The sequence below is a fragment of the Homo sapiens genome, chromosome 11, assembly GCF_000001405.40.
Source record: "Homo sapiens chromosome 11, GRCh38.p14 Primary Assembly".
NCBI lineage: Eukaryota > Metazoa > Chordata > Mammalia > Primates > Hominidae > Homo > Homo sapiens.
The window spans coordinates 105,451,058-105,472,944 of record NC_000011.10 but is presented as its reverse complement, the minus strand read 5'-3'; the positions used below and the strand labels follow the sequence as shown (position 1 = coordinate 105,472,944).

The following is a 21,887-nucleotide window of genomic DNA, read 5'->3' as shown; positions in this document are numbered from 1 at the left end:
TTCTTTCTTCCTTCCCCTTTCTTTCTCTTTCTTTCTTTCCTTTTTTCTTTCTTTCTTTCTTTCTCCTCCTCCTTCCCCTCCTCCTCCTCCCCTTCTTCTTCTTCCTCTTCCTCCTCCTCCTCCCCTTCCCCTTACCCTTCCCCTTCTCCTTCTCCTTCTCCTTCTCCTTCTTCTTTCTTCTTCCTTCTCCTCTCTCTCTCTCTCTCCCCCCCACCACTTTTCTTTCTTTTTTTGACACAGGGTCTCACTGTTGCCCAGATTTAGTGCAGTGGCATGATCATGGCTCATGGCAGCCTTGACTTCCTGGGCTCAAGCAATCCTCCCACCTCAGCCTCTTAGAGTACTTGGCAGGACAGGCATATGCCACCACACTTGGCTAATTTCTTTTCTTATTTTTTATAGTGACAGGGTCTCCACTATGTTGCCGAGGCTTGTCTTGAACTCCTGGATTCAAGTGATCCTCCTTCCTTAGCATCCCAAAGTTCTGGAATTACAGACGTGAACCATCTTGCCCAGATCACTAATTTTCTTAGTATAATACAACTGATCAATGGTAGGGCCAAGAGCAGAGCTCAGATATTCAGTGTTCTTCCCTCTACCCTATATAGAGTTTAAATAGTCTCAGATTTTAGAATAAAGATTAAATATTTCTGGGATAATCTCTTATTAGAAGAAAATGCTACTTTTTAACATTTTATTAATGTAGAATTTGGAATTGATTATAAATATTAGTGGAGAGGAGGGAAATATCTGTAGCTAGAAAGAGTTGGCTGGTGTCAGTCTACACCTTCCACATTTAAAGCAACTCATTGTTAGGGCATTCATTCCTCTCATCCTCAGTAGGCTTGGTTTCACACTATCCTTGAAATGTCCTTACAAAGCCAGGAATTTTCTATAAAATCAAACATGATGTTTAATATAAATCAGTCTTCTGGATCCTCTTTCTGATTGGCCCAGGGCTGATTATGCAAGGTTATTGCTTGAATACTGGAGTGACTGAGTCCTCAGTGCCACACACTCCAGTTGCCAGAAACAGACTTTTATTTAGCCTCACCACATAATAAAAGGGAAGTTTATTATTATTATTATTAGTAGTATTATACTTTAAGTTCTGAGATACTTGTGCAGAACGTGCAGGTTTGTCACATAGGTATATATGTGCCATCGTGGTTTGCTGCACCCATCAACCCATCATCTGTTTTAAGCCCTGCATGCATTAGGTATTTGTCCTAATGCTCCCCCTCCCCGTGCCCTCCACCCGCTGACAGGCCCTGGTGTGTGATGTTCCCCTCCCTGTGTCCATGTGTTCTCATTGTTAAACTCAAAAGGGAAGTATTTTTATCTCTACAAAAGTATTTTGTAATGTCGAATTTGGAATTGATTATGAGCATTAGTGGCGAGGAGGGAATTGTCTGTAGCTAGGAAGGGTTAGCCAGTGGCTAACCCTTGATTTGCTCTTGCAAGTTCCTTTCCAAGGCCAGGTGGCTTGCTCATCCCAGTGTCTGAGACTCTAGGCACAGGCCTCCAAGATGACAGCCAATTCTCTGACACTGTTCTCTGTCTACTCTACCTATAGTGACAAACTACCACAATTTATAAGATAAACCTAAATTATAGGCTCCAGTCCACTGAACTGTTTGCGTGTACAGATTCTAAATGTTTCCCAGCACCTGTTCAGCCCTATTCAGGGGGATAGAGAGCTAGCACCTAACTGGTTCCTTCCTTCCTTCCCTGAGCCACATTTTTCCCAGTTCATCTGGGTTGCCTTACTGAGTTCTCTGCCATATGCCTGCGAATTGAGAAAAAAATACCCTGAATTATATATGTAGCAATACCAACCCCAATTATTTAAAATGATAAAAGTTAGTGTTTATTGAATGCTAAGTATATGGCAAAGTGCTTAGCTTTTCACTTGCATTATCTCATTTTGTCCAGATAAGATTTTATGTTATTGTTAAAATAATCATCCCTTATTTTCAGATGAATAATAGGCATAGAAAGATCTAGTGTATGAATAAAGGCTTATTTGAAATAAATTGTCTCTTTACATGTCAGAACTAGGAAATGAAAGCTGATTTGTAATGTTATAGAAAAGTTACAAAGGCATTAGAAATATGCTGATAATAAAAGTGATATGATGATTACAGTTGGAACAGAATAGAAATAAAGAGGTTACTAGACCTCTTTATTTATGACAAAATTAGTTTTGAGGAGATCATGGAATGAGAGAGAGTTTAACTCCACAACCACTCCCATCTCCCAGTCTAGCATTCTGCCTATACATACATATATATATATATATATATATATATATATATATATATATATATATATATTTTTTTTTTTTTTTTTTGAGATGGAGTCTTGCTCTGTCCCCAGGGTGGAGTGCAGTGGTGCAATCTTGGCTCACTGCAACCTCTGCCTCCAAGTTCAAGTGATTCTCTTGCCTTGGCCTCCCAAGTAGGTGGGATTACAGGTGCCCACCACCACACCCGGCTAAATTTTGTATTTTTAGTAGAGACAGGGTTTCACCCTATTGGCCAGGCTGGTCTCCAAACTCCTGACCTCAGGTGATCCACCTGCTATGGCCTCGGAAAGTGCTGGGATTACAGGTGTGAGCCACAGCACCTAGCTACTGTTATATATTATACTGCTTTGTAATCAACCTATTCTAGTCAGTTAGTATTTTTTAAAATTGTGAATAAATAGATTTTTTTATCTCCCATTTCCTCTGGTGAATCCAGATGCTGTCTCAGGAATCCTCCCAGGCTTCTTCCAGCCAACACTTCTAACACTCCCACCTGCCCTCTACTGGTTCCAAGAGCTAGGATGGACCCACCCAGGCTACAGAGTTATCTTGCAGAAGATTTTTTAAAATTAATATCTGCATCATGAAACACTTCTAAACTGTACAGCATTGGTACATTCTATGATTTCCTTGGGAAACCAATTTCCCCACATACCATCTATGCATGCAAAACAGTTATGTGGCGTAAAGCCACAGTCACTGGCCAAGACTTACCTTTTACATTGTGGTAGTTTGTCACTACAGGTAAACAGAGAGCAGTGCTACAGAATCAGCTGCTATCTGGGAGGCCTGTCTTAGACAGTTTTTGAGAAAGAATATTGCACCCAGTTCACTGTTATATGAAGAGCACACTTTTAACATTGTGGAACCAGTTACTAGATGTTACGGGTTGGATTGTGTCCCCTGACACTTCAAATTCATGTCTTCATTACATAGTATTCTGTTTGTATGGATATTTCAGAATAAATGATTCTGCTCAACTTAGTAAACAATTTTTTCAGTATAGGTGTTAATTCTTCGCTTCATTCTATTGGCCATCTTATTTCATAGGACAACAGAATAGTTAACAATTTATAATTTGGAGTCATACGGACCTGAGTACAAACCTTTCCTCTTCCATTTACTAACTTTGTGAACCTGAAAAAAAATTATTTAACTTTTTAAGACATATTTTTGGTCACCTGTATACAAGTTATTTATTTATTTATTTCACAAATATCTATTAAATGCCTATGATTTTACTAGATTTCTATGAAGATTAATAATAGAATGAAAGTCAAGTGATTAGTTGGTACTTAGCCCTTGATAAACATTTCCTATTATTGTTATTGCTTTCAACTCTCTATCTTAGAACAAAAACAAAATTGAACATGAGACAATTTTGTGCTGTCAGTCTTTCTTCACTTTGTGGTGTATTGCTGTTGAAAAGCAAACTGTAAATGTTTAAAAATTTTTCAAAGTTGTGACATTTATATTCAGAATGTAACTGTATTTGAGGATAGGCCCTTTATAGAAGTAATTAAAGCTACATGAGGTCAACCTTGCTGACATCTTGATCTGAATCTTCGAGCCTCCAGAACTAGGAGGAAATAAATTTCTGTTGTTTAAGCTGCAGTCTGTGGTACTTTGTTTTGGCAGTCCTAGTAACATACCAGGTAATTTTGGTGGGGCTGATCTCTGTGTCATGCTACCTTGTAGGCATTTAAAGAGGGAATTCCTGAAGTACTGGTGGGCAAAGGGCCATAGGGTTCCCTCTCTTAGTCAGTACATTTTGGAATGTGAGAGGTCATTTGGGGACTTGGGAGGAAGAGTGGAAGGGGAGTGAGGGATAAAAGACAGCAAATATGGTGCAGTGCATACTGTTCAGGTGATGGGTGCACCAGGCTCTCACAAATCTCCACCAAAGAACTTACTCATATAACCAAATATCACCTGTACCCCAACAAGTTATGGAAAAATAAAATAAAATAATTAAAAATTAAAATTAAAGGATTTACTTGCAGAGAGCACCACAGTGAGCAAACGCATTATAAAAGGTGGGCCAGTATTATTTAAAAAAATTCTATGTTTTCCCCAGCTCTTCAGGCCAATGTTTTTGTTTGCATTGGAAATATAACTTTATTCCTTATTGCCAAGTGAATATTGACAGTATTTATCTGGAAAAGAAGGATCAGAGCCCCCTCTCTGAAGGTGTGCACGCAGCATGTCAGTCAGGAGACCAGCAGGAAAAAGGCAGCCTGAGGCCATAAGGCAGATGAACCTGGAGTTCCAGCTCGCAGAACACAGAGTCCCAAGATAAAAACGCAAAGCCCAATTGCATAATCCTGCCCTTCCTTTTTGGTTAATATAGAAAGCTATGCATGGCTGTTGTGTATTAATTTCAGGAAAGTGGCCTTGAGAGACACAATAGAAGATTTTTTAGGGATTAAATCATTTCATGCATTTTTAAGGATTCAATTTAAATATTTGCCCTGAAAGGATTTTTAAAGGACATGGAAGAGTTCATGCACAATTTTCCTGCATGGTGTCCACATTTATTCTTAGTTGATATTGCTGTAATATCAATATGTTTTCTGACCAATATGAATGTCAGAACTGAAATTATTTTAAACATTAATAGTTTGCTTTTCAACAGCAATATACCACATAGTGAAGAATGATTGACAGCACAAAATTGTCTCATGTTCAGTTATTTTTTGTTCTGAAATAAAGATAGTTGAAAACAATAATAGTAACAGGAAATGTTTATCAAGGGCTAAGTACCAACTTGACTTTTATTCTTTTATAAATCTTCATAGAAATCTAATAAAGTCATAGGTATTTAATAGATATTTGTGAAATAAATAAATAAATGAACTGTATACAGGTGACCAAAAATATGTCTTAAAAAGTTAAATAATATTTTTCTAGTTCACAAAGTTAGTAAATAGCAGAGGAAAGATTTGAACCCAGGTCTTTATGACTCCAAAGTATAAACTGTTAACTACTCTGCTGTGCCATGAAATAAGATGATCAATAGAATGAAGCTAAGAACTAACACTTATACCAAAACAATTATTTACTAATTTGAGCAGAATCATTTATTCGAAGAGATCCATACAAACAGAAAACTTACCATGTAATGAACTATGTTTTTCATTCAGCAATCTCAAAGATTTTCTGTCAACATAATTTTGGATTGATGTTGCATGGTGGCCTTATTGCTTCACATAAGAGGTGAAAATTTAAGCATTATAAATTATTATTTTAAACCTAATTTAGGCTGTTGGACTGAATCTATATATTTAACTCTTTTACCTCCACAAAGCTCTTTAGAGAGTAAAAAAGCATGCATAATAAAATATTTATAAAAGGACTAGCACTGGTGAACTGAGATAAAGGTGGGAGATGACCAACAGTACACCTTAGATTTTCATAAATTGTTAGAATATGCAAAGCAATGAAATTATATGAATTCCTAAGCCTGATTGGGGCACAGAACATACACAGAAAAGAAGTGGCAAACAAGTTGTAAATCTTCCTAAGAATAAAATATCAGGAAGCTTCTGGGCTCTGATTATGCAGGTACAGAGCCAAGATCTGGGGTGGAGCATTTGATTGAAACAGTATCTGTTGAAGAGTAGCATGAATAAGGCTTCCCCCTTTTCATTATATCATCCAGGTGCAGTGTAGTTGCCTTCTGGAGGAAGTCAGGAAAATATTTTCCAAGAAATTAAACATCCACTTGGGATGGTTTAAGGCTCCAAGAGCGAGGACTGGTATTACAAATCTGATCTTTACTAAAATTTTCACTCTCCCCACTCACACATACAAAATAAACACTACTAGCTAACTTGACTAGCCTAGATGCAGAGATCTGGCAATCAGCCACATCGTTCAGGAAGGGAGCTTGCTAATGAAAGAAAAATGCAAGTAATCCAGAAAGTCCATGAAATCTACTCATGTCAATCTGCTTTGATCTTCACTCAAAAATAAATTAACAACCAAACTTACCAGATATTTAGGGTAGTTCAGCAACATAAAGAGAAGTTCTAATATTAAAACATATAGTGATTAATTCTAGAAGAATCAAAGTTAATTTAGAGATAAGAAATAAGTTTAAAAATTATTTTTAGTGTCCTTAGAGAGCTTGAGAGAATATATTGCATCCGTGAAAACAAAAAGTAATATTCCCTAAGTATCTATTAAATGTGCCATGCCATGTTGAGGATTATATAGAGTATTTCACTTTAACTTTACAACCATTATTACCTTCAGTTACAGATGGGACAACTGATACATAGAGAAATTAAATGATTTGCCCAAATTTGTGCCTAATTAGCTATATAGACGACAAAAGAAAAAAGTATTTAGAATATTTCAACAAAATTAACTAATGAAAAATGTAACAAAAACTAAGATAAAGAGGAGGAGTCAGAAAATTATGACCTCTGCTTCATTTTTTATGGCTTAAGCTAAATTTTTTTTCTTCCATTTTTAGAGAATTGTCAGAAGAAGAAGAAGAGAAGGAATAGGAGAAAGAGAAAAATGAAGTGAAGGAGGAGGAGAGGGAGTGAAAGGGAAAGAGAGGAAGAGAAGAGCTAGAAACTTTACATGACACCTCCTCAAGCCTAAAATATTTACTTTCTCATCCTTAACGAAAAAAATTGCTGACACTTGATATAGAAGATCAGTGCAGGAGGGATGTTATCCAGCTAATAGAGATTATGATAATAGGAACCAGAAAAATAGAGATGAGGAATAATCAATAAAATCATAAAAGACAAATTTCCGTAACTTGAAAGGATTCACTGAAGAACTAGCAGGAAGAATAAACAATACACACACACACACACCCCACACACGTGTACACCCCTTACAATTAAATGTACTGTAATAAACTATTTGAATGTCAAGGATAAGAGAACATGCCAAAAATTTCTACAAAGAAAAAAGAGAGAGAGCTCGCTCACTAAAACAAACAAACAAAAAATAATATTGGCATCAGAATTCTCATTTGCATCGCTTGCTGCTAGATGTTTTGAGGTCAGCACTGTATCATCATTATATAAAACACTTGCCACATAGTAAGTCTAAAATAAAAAATTGTCAAATGAATTAAATAAAAACTATCAGGCTCAGCAAGAAATGAGTGACAGGTAGTGATACACCTGTTCTGAGTCTTAGGTGCCTGAATGCCTGCTGAATCTGTGTTGACCCTGTGCGGTGACTGCCTGCTTAGAACAAAAGGATTGAGTTATGACTCTTTTCTGTTTTTTCCACTGTTCCTTTTTTACAATTGTAAGGTTTTTTTTTTTTTGAATGAATACTTTCAAGAAATCTTCTAATTATAGGCACTTTTGATCTGATTTATTTTATCAATGAGATGTGGACAAATGAAGAGTAAAACATGGTAAGATTTAGACAATTGTTTTTAAATTTAATTTTATTAAACAATGATTCTGAGTGATTAAATAAGATCAAATTTAAATAGCCATTGAATTCATTGAATTCAATGTATTCACCTGAAGCTCTGTAGTTGTTCATTTATTTCTTTTTTTTTTTATAATTAATTTTTGGGGTACATAGTGGGTGAATGTATTTATGGGGTGTATGAGATATTTTGATACAGGTAAAAAATACATAATGATCACTTCAAGGTAAATGGGGTATGCATCATCTCAAGCATTTATCATTTCTTTGTGTTATAAACATTTCAATAATCTTTTAGTTACTTTAAAATGTGCAATAAATTATTGACTGCAGTCACTTTGTTGTGTTATCAAAAACACGATCTTATTCATTCTAACTATATTTTTCTAATGATTAACCAACTCTATTTCCTCACCACCCACTACCCTTCTCAGTCTCTGGTAACCTTCATTCTACTGTATCTTCATGAATTCAATTGTTTTAATTTTTAGATCCCACAAATGAGTGAGAACACGTGAAGTTTCCCCTTCTGTGCCTGACTTATTTCCTTTAACACCCCCAGTTCAATCCGTGCTGTTGCAAATGACAGGATCTCATTCTTTTTTATGTCTGATTAGTACCCCATTATGTATATGTACCACATTTTCTTTATTTATTAGTCTATTGATGAATACTTAGGTTGATTCCAAACCTTGGCTATTGTGAATAGTGCTACAATAAACATGAGGGTGCAGATATCACTTCAACATACTGATTTCATTTTCTTTTATAAAAACCCAGTAATGGAATTGCTGGATCATATGGTAGCTCTGTGTTTAGTTTTTTGAGGAACCTCCAAACTGTTTTCTTTAGTGATTGTACTAATTTACATTCTTACCAATAGTGAATGAGGGTTCCCTTTTCCTCACATCCTCAACAGCATTCACTATTGCCTGTCTTTTAGATAGAAGCCATTTTTACTGGGTAAAGTGATATCTCATTGTAGTTTTGATTTGCGTTTCTCTGATGATCAGTGGTGCAGAGCACCTTTTTATACACCTGTTGCCATTTGTTTATCTTCTTTTGAGAAATGTCTATTCAAATATTTTGGCCATTTTTAAATTGGATTATTTTATTTCTTCCTAATGAGTTGTTTGACCTCCTCATGTATTCTGGTTATTTATCCTTCATCAAATGAATACTTTGCAAATATTTTCTCCCATTCTATGGGTTGTCTCTTCACTTTGTTGATTGTTTCCTTTGCTGTGTGCAGAAGCTTTTTAACTTGATTTGTTACCATTTGTCCATTTTTGCTTTGTTTGCCTGTGCCTGGCAGGTATATTACTCAAGAAATCTTTGCCCACACCAATGCCCTGGAGAGTTTCCCGATGTTTTCTTGTGGTAGTTGCATAGGCTGAAGTTTTAGATTTAGGTCTTTACTCAATTTTGATTTGATTTTTGTATTTAGCAAGAGACAGAGGTCTAGTTTCACTCATCTACATATAGATACCCAATTTTCCCAGGACCATTTATTGAAAAGAGTGTCATTTCCTTATTGTATGTTCTTGGTACATTTGTTGAAAATGAATTTACTGTAGGTGTATGGTTTTGTATCTGGGTGCTATTCTGTTTCATTGTTCTAAGTGTTTTTATGCCAGTACCACTAAAAATTTTTTTTCAAGTTACTATAGCTCTGTAGTATATTTTGAAGTCAGGTAATGTGATTCCTCCAGTTTTGTTATATTTGCTCAGGATGGCTTAGGCTACTCTGGATCTTTTGTTGTTCCATATACATTTTAGGATCATTTTTTCTATTGCTGTGAAGAATGTCATTGCTTTTGGATAGGGATTGCATTGAATCTGTAGATTCCTTTGGATAGTATGAACATTTTGACAATATTGATTCTTCCAATCCATGAACAGAAAATATCTTTCCATCTTTTATGTCGTCTTCTATTTCTTTTATAAATATTTTAAAGTTTTCATTGTAGAGCTCTTTTACTTCTTTGGTTCAGCTTATTCCTAGGTATCTAACATTATTTGTGCCTAATATAAATTGGATTACTTTCCTGATTTTATTTCAGATTGTTTGCTGTTGGAATATAGAAATACTACTGACTTGTATGTTGATTTTGTATCCTTCAACTTTTTTTTTATTATTATTATACTTTAAGTTTTAGGGTACATGTGCACAATGTGCAGGTTAGTTACATATGTATACATGTGCCATGCTGGTGTGCTGCACCCATTAACTTGTCATTTAGCATTAGGTATATCTCCTAATGCTATCCCTCCCCCCTCCCCCCACCCCACAACAGTCCCCTTCCTGTGTCCATGTGTTCTCATTGTTCAATTCCCATCTATGAGTGAGAACGTGCGGTGTTTGGTTTTTTTGTCCTTGTGATAGTTTGCTGAGAATGATGATTTCCAATTTCATCCATGTCCCTACAAAGGACATGAACTCATCATTTTTTATGGCTGCATAGTATTCCATGGTGTATATGTGCCACATTTTCTTAATCCAGTCTATCATTGTTGGACATTTGGGCTGGTTCCAAGTCTTTGCTATTGTGAATAGTGCCGCAATAAACATACATGCGCATGCGTCTTTATAGCAGCATGATTTATAGTCCTTTGGGTATATACCCAGTAATGGGATGGCTGGGTCAAATGGTATTTCTAGTTCTAGATCCCTGAGGAATCGCCACACTGACTTCCACAATGGTTGAACTAGTTTACAGTCCCACCAACAGTGTAAAAGTGTTCCTATTTCTCCACATCCTCTCCAGCACCTGTTGTTTCCTGACTTTTTAATGATTGCCATTCTAACTGGTGTGAGATGGTATCTCATTGTGGTTTTGATTTGCATTTCTCTGATGGCCAGTGATGATGAGCATTTTTTCATGTGTCTGTTGGCTGCATAAATGTCTTTTGAGAAGTGTCTGTTCATATCCTTTGCCCAGTTTTTGATGGGGTTGTTTGTTTCTTTCTTGTAAATTTGTTGGAGTTCATTGTAGATTCTGGATATTAGCCCTTTGTCAGATGAGTAGGTTGCAAAAATTTTCTCCCATTTTGTAGGTTGCCTGTTCACTCTGATGGTAGTTTCTTTTGCTGTGCAGAAGCTCTTTAGTTACCTCTTTCAACTTTACTGAATTTTTTTTTCAGTTCTAATAATTTTTTTTGGTGGAGTCTTTAGGTTTTTCCAAGTAAAAGATCATGTCATCTTCAAATACGGGTAATTTGACTTCTTCCTTACCAACTTGGATGCCCATTATTTCTTTCTTGTGTCTGACTGCTGTGGGTAGGAGTTGCAGCACTGTTTCGTAACGATGAAAATGGACAGCCTTGTTGTGTTCCTGATCTTAGAGGAAAGAACTTTAGTTTTCCCCTATTTAGTATGATACTAGCTCTTTATCTGTCATATATGGCTTTCATTGTGTTGAGGTATGTTTCTTAAACACCCAGATTTTTTTAGGGTTTTTATCTTGAAGGGATATTGAATATTATTAAGTGCATTTTCTGTATCAAATGAAATAATTATATGTTTTTATCCTTCATTCTGTTGATATGATATGTCACATTGATTGATTTACATATGATGAAACATCCTTGCACCCCAGAGGTAAATCCCACTTGATCAAGCTGAATGAACTTTTTAAATGTGTTACTGAATTTGGTTTGTTAATAATTTTTGCATCAGTATTTATTAAGGTCATTGGCCTGTAGTTTTCTTTTTATTATTTGTCTTGGTGTGGGTTTGTTATCAGTGTAATACTTGCTTCATAGAATGAGTTTGGAATTATTCCCTCCTACTCTATTTTTCAGAATAATTTAAGTAGGATTGGTATTATTTCTTCTTTAAATGTTTGGTAAAATTCAGCAATGAAGCGATTGGATACCTGACTTTTCTTTGCCAGTAGACTTTTTGTTACTTTTTCAAGCTCTTTATTTGTTATTGTTCTATTCAGATTTTGGATTTCTTTATGGTTCCTTCTTGGCAGGTTTTATGTGTTTAGAAATTTATCCACTTCCAGGTTTTCTGGTTTATTGACATATAGATGCTCTTACTAACCACTAGTGATCCTTTGAATTTCTGTTGTACCGGTGGTAATATCTTGTTTTTTATTTCTTTTGACTGAATAGTTTAGTCCATTTACATTCAATGTTATTATGAAGAAGGCAAGACTTACTTTTGCCATTTTGTCATTAGTTTTCTGGTTGTTTTGTAACCTTTTCTTCCTTCCCTCTTTCTTTCCTGTCTTCTTTTTTGTGAAGGTAGTTTTTCTGGTGATACGTTTTAATTTCTTTCTTTTTCATTTTTTGTGTATCCGTTGTAGTTTTATTTATTTCAGTCTTCTCTCTTTTTCTATAGTCTTGTTACAACTTTCTTGGTTTTGTTTACCTTTTCAAAAAACCAACTTCTGATTTTTTAGTTTCTTTGTTTCAATTTTATTTACTTCTGATCTTCTTCTTATTTTGTGTTTGATTTTCTCTTGCATTTCTAATTCTTTCAGATGCATCATTTGGTTGTTTATTTGAAGTTTTTCTACTTTGTTGATATAGGTGCTTATTGTTATAAACTTTCCTCTTAGTACTGCTTTCACTGTATTCCATAGGATTTGGTATGTTGTGTTTCTATAGTCATTTGTTTCAAAAATTTTTAAACTTTATTCTTAATTGCTTCATTGACTCACTTGTCAATTGGTAGCATATTGTTTAATTTCTCTGTGTTTGTACAGTTTCCAAAGTTTCTCTTATAGATTTCTAATTTTATTTCCTTTCAGTTAGAAAAGATACTTGATATAATTTCATTTTTAAAAATTTCTTGAGACTTTTTTGTAGCTAACATACAGTCTACCCTTGATAATGACCCATGTTCTGATGAGAAGAATGTATATTCTACAGCTATGGGATGAAATGTTCTGTAAATATCTGTTAGGTTCATTTGGTTTGTAGTACAGATTAAGTCTGATGTTTCTTGGCTGATTTTCTGTTTGGATGATGTCTAATGCTGAAATAAGGGGTTGAAGTCTCAAGCTATTAGTATATTAGGGTCTATCTCTCTCTTTAGCTCTAGTAATATTTGTTTTATATATCTGTGTGCTCTAGTGTTGGGTGCATATATACTTACAATTGTTATATCCTCTTGCTGAGTTGACCCCTTTATCATTATTTAATTACCTTCCTTGTTTCTTTTTATATGTCTTTGTCTTGAAAGCTATTTTGTCTGAAATAAGTATATCTACTTCTGCTAATTTTTAGTTTGCATTGGCATGAACTATCTTTTTCCATTTCTTTATTCTCAATCTATGTGTGTCTTTATAGGTGAAGTGTGTTTCTTATAGGTAATAGATCATTAGGTCTTGTTTTTATTCATTCAGCCACTCTATATCTTTTGTTTGGAGTGCGTAGTCCATTTGTATTCAATGTTATAATGGATAGGTAAAGACTTACTTTTGCCATTTTGCCATTTTGTTATCAGTTTTCTGGTAGTTTTGTAATCTTTTCTTCCTTCCTTCTTTTTTTCTTGTCCTCCTCTTTGTGAAGGTACTTTTCTCTGGTGGTATGTTTTAATTTTTTTCTTTTAAATTTTTTTGTGTATCCACTATAAGTTTTTTGATTTGAGGTTACGATGAGGCTTGCCTGTAACATCTTATAACCAATTATTTTAAACTGATGATAACACTGATTGCAAAATCAAACAAATTAACAAATAAGGAAAGAGAGAACTAATAAAATCTCTACACTTTGCATCTTTCACTTCTAAACTTTTTGTTGTTTCTATTTATATCTCCTTATATACCTATGTCTTTAAAAATTGTTGTAGTTATTATTTTTGAAAGGTTCATCTTTTAGTATTTCTACTCAAGATATGAGTAGTTTTCACACCACAGTTACAATGTTATAATAGTCTATGTTTATCTGTGTACTTACGATTACTAGTGAGTTTTGTACCTTTAGATGTTTCTTATTGTTTGTTAACATCCTTTTCTTTCAGACTGAAGAACTCCCTTTAGAATTTCATGAAGGACCAGTTTGTTGTTGTTGAAATCCCTCAACTTTTGTTTGTCTAGTAAAATTTTTATTTCTCCTTCATGTTTGAAGGATATTTTCACTGGACATACTATTCTAGGATAAAAACTTATTTCCCTCAACATGTTAAATATGTCATGTCACTCTCTCTTAGCCTGTAAATTTTCCACTGGGAAGTCTGGTGCAAGACATATTGGAGCTCCTTTGTATGTTATTTATTTCTTCTCTCTTGCTTCTTTTATCCTTGACACTTGGGAGTTTAATTATTAAATGCCTTGAGGAAATCTTCTTTGGGTTAAATCTGCTTTGTGTTCTATAACCCTCCTGTACTTGAATATTGATATCTTTCTCTAGGGTTGGAACATTTTCTGTTGTATTCCCTCTGAATAAACTTTCCCCAGATCTCTCTCATGCCCTCCTCTTTAAGGCCAATAATGTGTAAATTTGCCCTTTTGAGACTATTTTCTAGATCTTGTAGGCTGCTTCATTTTTTTGTATATACTTTTTTTTTTTTAGTTTCCTCTGGCTGTTTATTTTCAAATAGCCTGTCTTCATGTTCACTATTTTTTTTCCTCTGCTTGATCAATTCTGCTGTTGAGAAACCGTGATGCATTCTTCATTGTGTCAGTTGGATTTCTGTGACTCTTGTAGGCTCATAAGGATACTATCTTGGTGATCTTGGGTAAGATCTGGGAGAATTTCTTAGATTACTAAGCAGAGACTTTTGTTCCTTTCTTTTACTTTCCCCCAAATAAACAGGATGTCCCTCTTCATGGAGAGCTGCCTGAAGCTGAGAAGGGTGCGACGGACCTGAAGGCTGCACAGCGCCGGGTCTTACCCAAGGCTCAAGGTGACCGCTGCCTGGTTTCTGCTGGTGTTTATTCAAAGCCCAAGGGCTCTCCAGTCAGCAAGTGGTGAATCTAGTCAGACATGTGTCCTACGCTTCAGGGCAATGAGCTTCCCCTCAGCCTAAGGTGAGTCTATGATTGCCCTCTGGGAGTCAGGGCTGAAGTCAGAAAACTCTGGAATGTATTTGGTGCGCTGTTCTACTGTGGCCGAGTTGTTACCCAAGCTGCAAATCAACGTTCTTTCCACCCTTCCCTCTCCTTTTCTCATGCAAAGGAAGTTGTCTCTTGTGGCCACCACTGCTCCAGACCTGTGACAATTACTGCTTGGCTATTGCCGATGTTCACTCAAGGCCCAAGGGCTCTTCAGCCAGCTGGGTTGAATGTTGCCAGGCCTAGCTCTCTCCCTTCAGGACAATAGGCTTCTCTCTGGCCCCAGGCAGGTCCAGAAATGCTGTTCAAAAGCTAATGCCTAGAACTGGGGACCCCGGGAGGCTGCTTGGTGCTTTACCCCTCTGTGGTCGAGCTGGTACCTAAGATGCAAGACAAAGTCACCTTTACTCTTTCATCTCCTTTTAAAAGCAGGAGTATCTTCTCATGTCTACCAGAGCTGGGAATGGAGTGGTAACATTTAAAGCCAGCACAACCCTGGGTCTCACCCAAGGCCCACAGTGAAAACTTCCTGGGTACCATTAATTCTTATTCACGGCCCAAGTTCTCTTAGTTAGTAGGTGATGAATCTTGCCATGACTGGGTTATTCCATTCAAGGCAGCATGTTCCATTCTGGCCCAGTGTGTGTCTAGAAATGTCAACTGGGAGCTGGGGCCTGGAACAGGGGCCCCAGGACTCTGCCTGGTGCCCTATTACACTATGGCTGAATTGGTATCCTACTTGCAAAACAAAGTTCTCTTTTTTCCCTTCTCCTTCTGAGCTGTGAGCTGTGCTGTCTGGGGTAAGGGGCATGGGAGAAACAAGCACTTCTAGGCATCTCCAGCTGGTACCTCACTAGGTCATGTGCACTCAAAATCCACTGGTTCAAGCCCAGCACGACAAAAAAAACTTGCTCAGGAATTGCAGTTGTTGTGGCATAGTCTCTGCCTTTCAAGTTTATTTATGACCCTAGAACACTTTATCCTGCAGTGGTGGTGCTAACCAGAACTCAGGTTCTGACCATGGGGTTAGGTGACTCCCTTCTGGCTGGGGCTAGTCTAAATTCTACCTCTGGGGGCGCTGGCTGAATTCTCTCTCACGTTGCTTTCCATTTGACAGGGCAGCACTGAGTTCCAACATAAAAAGTTCCGCAATCACTGCTCTATCTATCCTGCATACACACAAATTCTCTTTCTGCACCACATGGCCACCTCCAGGGGAATAGGGGACAGGTTGTGTCATCCATTCAAGACTATCTTTCCTACACTCTCTTCAGTGCTTCTTTCTTTGCTATGATGTTAAAACCAGATAATATGATTGCTCACTTCATGTTTGGTTCTTATCAAGGTTCTTTCTTGTGTGGAGAGTTGTTCAATTTGGTGTTCCTGCAGGGTGGATGATCACTGGAGGCTTGTAGTCGGCCGTCTTGCTTTGCCTCCTCCTGTTTATTTACTTCTGGAAAGAACTCCTCCATCATATCTCTTTCACCTCATACATAATAAAATAGTTTTAGGATTACAATAAATTATTACATAAATATTCAGTAGGCTCTAAAAAATACAGATGGAGTCTCACTATGGTACTCAAGCTGGTTTTGAACTCCTGGCCTCAAGCAATTCTATTGTCTTAGCTGCCTGAGTAACTAGACTTACAAGCACGAGCCACCGTGCCAGGCTATTTTTCATTATTGCTTAAAAATCTTTATTGTATTCTTTGAACTAAAGTATAATTTTGAACACACACAAAATTTATATATTTGACGATACATCCAGGTGAATTTGATATAATTTTAAATGACTTTTAGAAGCATTACAACAAAAATGTTAATTTACATAATATGGTTACTTCTCACAAAATTCCACTTTTCAGCCTTTGAGATGAGACATAGCTTACCCAAGCTCACACAGGTAGTAAGTGGTAGCTGAGATCCAAACTACCTTGAGTGATGCATAGCATAAGCTGTAGTGATTCAACATTCAAACACCAGATGTTACCCTGGGGTATATAGACAATATTCCTTTAAAAAAATTGGGAAAGAAATAAGGGACCAACATAATATATGTTATTGGAGAGTATGATAACTTTTGGACTTTGAGATTTGCAATTTTCAGTAAAACCTGAATAGCTGTGTGATGGGGCTGGGGCTTTCAGTAAACAGTAGATCAGAACAAAAAGGGAAAAGTTAGTGCATTTTATTATTTAAAATATGTATGGAACCAAACTGCACTAGTAAAGGGACAATTTCAGAAACATGGCAAGTCAGCAGTCAGCAGTGAAACTTAGATTAGAAATGGAAAGTTCATACTTGGGCCTTACCTGTGATTTATTTGCAGACCGAGACTCAGGAAGTGGGATTGATATTTGAAGCATTTCCCTTCCTCCTTTATAACACTATTTACAAAGCTGCAATGGCAAAATGTTCTTCAAAACCCAGTGAAATGTGAAGTTTGGCCAGTTTGCTTTTTATGGGCTAAGGATTTTACTTTGGTCTATATGTCATTGTGCTTTATTTATGAATCCATTTTTATAAGCTAAGCGCTATTTTCATATCTTGTTAATATTTTGGTTCTTTGAACTAAAATATCCTTTGTTAAAATTTCAAAAGTAAATAGACTATATTTATTCCATGATTACAACATTCTGGATTAAGTTTTACAATAAATAAATCCTTTCTTGAAGTGTCTGACAATGGTAGAGGCTAGATGAATTTGTTTTTGCAGGCATAATGCTTCGTCAATACAGGCCTATTGTTTCCATGGACTTTAAGAAATAATGTCTATTAAAATAGCTATGATATTGTGGAACAATTGCCAATATTTTGGAAATAGGGAGATTCAAAACAGTGTAGTGTGTCTACAATAAATTTAATGAAAACCATTCAATAGCTCTCCCCACTACATGGAAGTTCAATTGTAACTTAGATACTAATTTTGATCATTATAAATGTATTCACAGCTTTTACCAGTATCAATCCTTCCAAATAATTTGTTAACATAATTAGCATACAGCTTTTGAAACTATTCATTTGCTTTGAGTTTCATCACCGTCCTAAAGAGCAAACTAACCATTAACTGCTGATATCGGCTACATCTTTAGTGACTTAGATGCAGGATATAAATGACTCTTGAAATTAGCATTATTAATTAGGAAAGAAAAAACTTGTGTTTTTATTCTTTGGTTGAAAGGTAGTATTGGCCTATCTGGAGTTTAACTGATAACACTGTAATTTTAAATTTTGTATTAATAAGCTATTTTATGTGTGTAAAAATAAAACTCCCTTTTTATTGTTATCAAAATTGCTAGAAGCTTAAAATCCAGAAATGAGGCATAGTCCACTAGCAATGAATTTTCATACAGACAAAAAACAACCAAGCAATATATCATAAAAACTTTTTTCTTTATCAGTGCATGCGGTTTCTCATAAAATAAATACATTCGAATTTTGCATAATTTGTTTTTTCATTTTCCACAAGATGTTCTCTGATTTTCATAATTTACTTATATTTATGCTGGTAGGAAGTGTGCTTCCTGCAATTTTGTGGGAATTTGCGTTACTCAAATTTCAGGCATGGTTGTTTACATTATTAGCTTTTCTGAGAATATATTACTTAAAGTTGGATTTTAAGATATCCAAATCTTCTAAATCATATTATTAAGACTTATCGTTTATTGAAATTATACACAGGATGCTTCAGCATATTTTTCACATATAAAAATAATTATATTTTTGCCTGAGTTCTTAGGCATTTATCTCCTTAATCCTTTTTCCCTCCTATTTTCATACAAAATAATTATTTTGAAATGTTTTAATAACTGTTCTGACATCTATCTTAACCTGTTTTATATTAAAATAACCTATTCAAGGACAGAATACAGATACAGATATTCATCATGTATCCACATTTTCTGTATATTCAAATACTTGTTGGCTGACTGAATGAACAAATTAATTCCTGACTGGACGGATTTATTATATTCAGGTTTAAAATTAGTATATTTCACCTTTTGAAATTTTAATAACAAATTTATTAAATATAAAAAAATTCAGAAGAGATTGGATATTCATGGGAAAAATGAATGTGTACTGAATGAAAATATTTATATTTATTGAAAACTGTGCACCCATTTTAAAGTTACCATATTCATTTGATTTTTCCTAAAATGTTTATTGAGATTTGTATAAGAGAGAGAATGTTAGTACCATGCAGTCAGTTTATCTTGCCAGAACCTGAGATGCATCTTAGCACCCTGTATTTATTTTATTACATAAGCTCAGCTTTCACTTCTAGAGAATAGGTTTAACAATACCATCCTCTAAATATTTAAACATTTCTAATATTTATTGACCTCCACATTCCCTAGCCCTAGTTTAAATTTCATTATTTCTCACTGAGAATATTAAAAGTCTCTGTACTGTTCCCTCTTTCTTTGGTCTTATCTTTCAATAAACCTGAATTCCATATCAGCATGACTTTTCAAAATATATCTAACCTTTATTCACTTGCTTGAAATTCTTCATTCACACTTTAATACCCACAGAATGATATCTTACTTCCTTAACATTATATGCAAGACCTTTATATACTTGCTCAGCCTTATCTTCCAGTATTCTCTGCTTTCAATAAATAATTTGTAGTTACTTGAACCCACTGTGTAATTTCATGTATCTATTCACTTTTTCCCACTATCCAGGATTGTTTGTCTCTTAATATCTACCTGGAAACTTGTCACTCATGGTTTAAAATTCAGTGCAAGTAAGGTGTAACTTCTGGAATGGTAAAGGGGTACCTTAGTAAATTCTTCTCCAAGAGCAATAATATAAAGCCCCCAATTCCCCATACCAATCATTTCAGATCTCTGAAAATTAACCAAAGGCATAAAACAAATTGAAAAACATTTATGGGAAAGTAACTACTGAATCTTGGTAAGAACAATGGGATGCATGTTCCTTTAACGTGCACCTCGACAACTCCATCAGGGCTCATCTGCTCAGAAGTCCCATGGAGAGTATCCTCACCCAGTGAGTAGCAGTTGGTGGCAAATAATTGGAGAAAGTTGATGTCTCAGTTGATTCAGTCTCTGATGCTGGGGCAAGCAAGAGACCAGGCAAAAACTTAATAGAGGGATTTAGGGAATGAGATAGTCACAGAGGAACTTGAAAAGTTTCTGGTAATCTGGAAGGCTAAGTTCACATGCACGGCAGCACACACGATCAAGTCTGCAGGTGTATTTAGGGAAGAATGGAGAGGCTCCCAGTTAGTTACTTATACCTGCTGGACCATGAGACACTTTATTAAAAAAAAAAAAATGAAAATCTGAGTAGACGTGTGAATTGCCTAAATTTTGAATGTGTGTCACAACCCACACAGATTTCCTCAGCCAATGGTGGAAGCCTTACTGGCTCATGATGTTTAAAGAAAAGTTTTGCCCATTCTCTGGGTGGTCATTAAGCTCTGCTTAAGAAATTGAGCTTTAAAATATTGATAATAAATTTAAAAAAAATGTAAGCAGCAACTTCAGTGTTTACACACTGTAGAAAGGACAGTTTCTAAAGAACTAATCCAGGCCAGCTACTAAAAAGCAAACAAGCAAACAAAAGAAACAATAAGTCTGAGTTGGGGAGGATATCTAGAATCCAGAATTACTACAATAATTGAGTTAAGATAGCCAGTTGGCAGGGCACGGTGGCTAACGCCCGTAATCCCAGAACTTTGGGAGGCCGAGGTGGGTAGATCACCTGAGATCAAGAGTTCAAGACCAGCCTGGCCAATATGGTGAAACCCCGCCTCTACCAAAAATACAAAAAATTAGCCAGGCGTGGTGGTGGCACCTGTAATCCCAGCTACTCAGGAGGCTGGGGCAGGAAAATCCCTTGAACCTGGGAAGCAGAGGTTGTAGTGAGCCAAGATCTTACTGTACTCTGGCCTGGGCAAGAGAGAGAGACTCTATCTCAAAAACAAACAAACAAACAACAACAACAACAACAACAACAAATCTTCACCTAAAGTTATGAGACAGAGAAAAATCAAACTGTTGCCCATTTAAAGAGATAAAAAGTAATCAATAGAAGCAGAAGCTGTCCCTGACTGTAAGTAAGCTATTATATTCAAAAGCAAAAGGAAATATGTTTAAAGAATTAAATGTACTTATAAAACCAATGACTCAACAAATAGAGAATATTAATAAAAAGTTATCAATCATAAAGTAAACATCAGGTTGAAAAGAAAACATTTTAGTTACTGAAAATATTTCAGGTTACTGAAAATATTTTAGAAAGTTCTAGAAGTGCTCAACTGCAGATTTGAGTGGGAAGAAGATTCAGTGAATATGAAGACAGGTCATTCAAGATTATGCCAACTGAAGAACATAATAAATGATGAATAAATAAAAATGAACAGATCCTGAGAGGCCTGTGGAACACCATTAAATATATCAGTATATGCATAAGAAAAATCTCAGAAAAAGAGAAGAGAAAGAAAGGGACAGAAAAAAATATTTGATGAATTAATGACCAAAAGATTCACAAATTTGACAAAATTTTTTAACATACATGTCTATGAGGCTCAACCTAATCCAAGTAGGTTAAACTCAGAGAAGTCCACAGCTAGACAAATCACATTTATCAAAAGCTAAACACAAAGGTAAAATTTTGAATAAAGCAAGAGAAATATGACCCATCGTGTACAAGAGAACCTCAGTAAGATTTACAGCTGAATTCTCAGCAGGAAAAATGGAGTGACATAAGGTGATGGAATACCATATCAAAATTATGGAAAATCACTGCCAGCCAACTAAAATAAAAGATATTCCTAGATAAAGACTGAGCAAGTTAGTTTCTGACAGAATTGGCTTACAAGATATACTAACGGGAGTTCCTCTCAAGAGTAAGAAGTAGTTCAAAAGCACATGAAGAAATAAAGTATAGATAAAGGTAACTCGATAAATATGAAAAATATTATATAAATATATATAGTCTACTCTTAATGATTTAAAAGACAGATTCACATGTAATATTTATAGCATTACATTGTTGGGTTTATAACATATAAAAATGTATTTGAATCACAATAGTAACAGAAAAGAGAGGCAGAGAAGTGAGTGTATCGGAGCCAAGTGTCTATATACAATCAAAATTATGCTAGTATTAATCATAAGTAGA

At 35.5% G+C, this 21,887-nt stretch overlaps 1 long non-coding RNA gene across 7 annotated transcripts in view; it reads left to right on the top strand.

The window, feature by feature from the left end:
* The window catches only part of LOC105369468 (uncharacterized), a 383,452-nt gene that overhangs the window by 68,423 nt on the left and 293,142 nt on the right, over positions 1-21,887 (top strand). For all 7 annotated transcript variants that reach the window (XR_007062871.1, XR_007062870.1, XR_947973.2 and 4 more), the window contains one exon: positions 14,492-14,706. This is a non-coding gene — a long non-coding RNA (uncharacterized LOC105369468). The remainder of the gene's footprint in view (positions 1-14,491; positions 14,707-21,887) is intronic.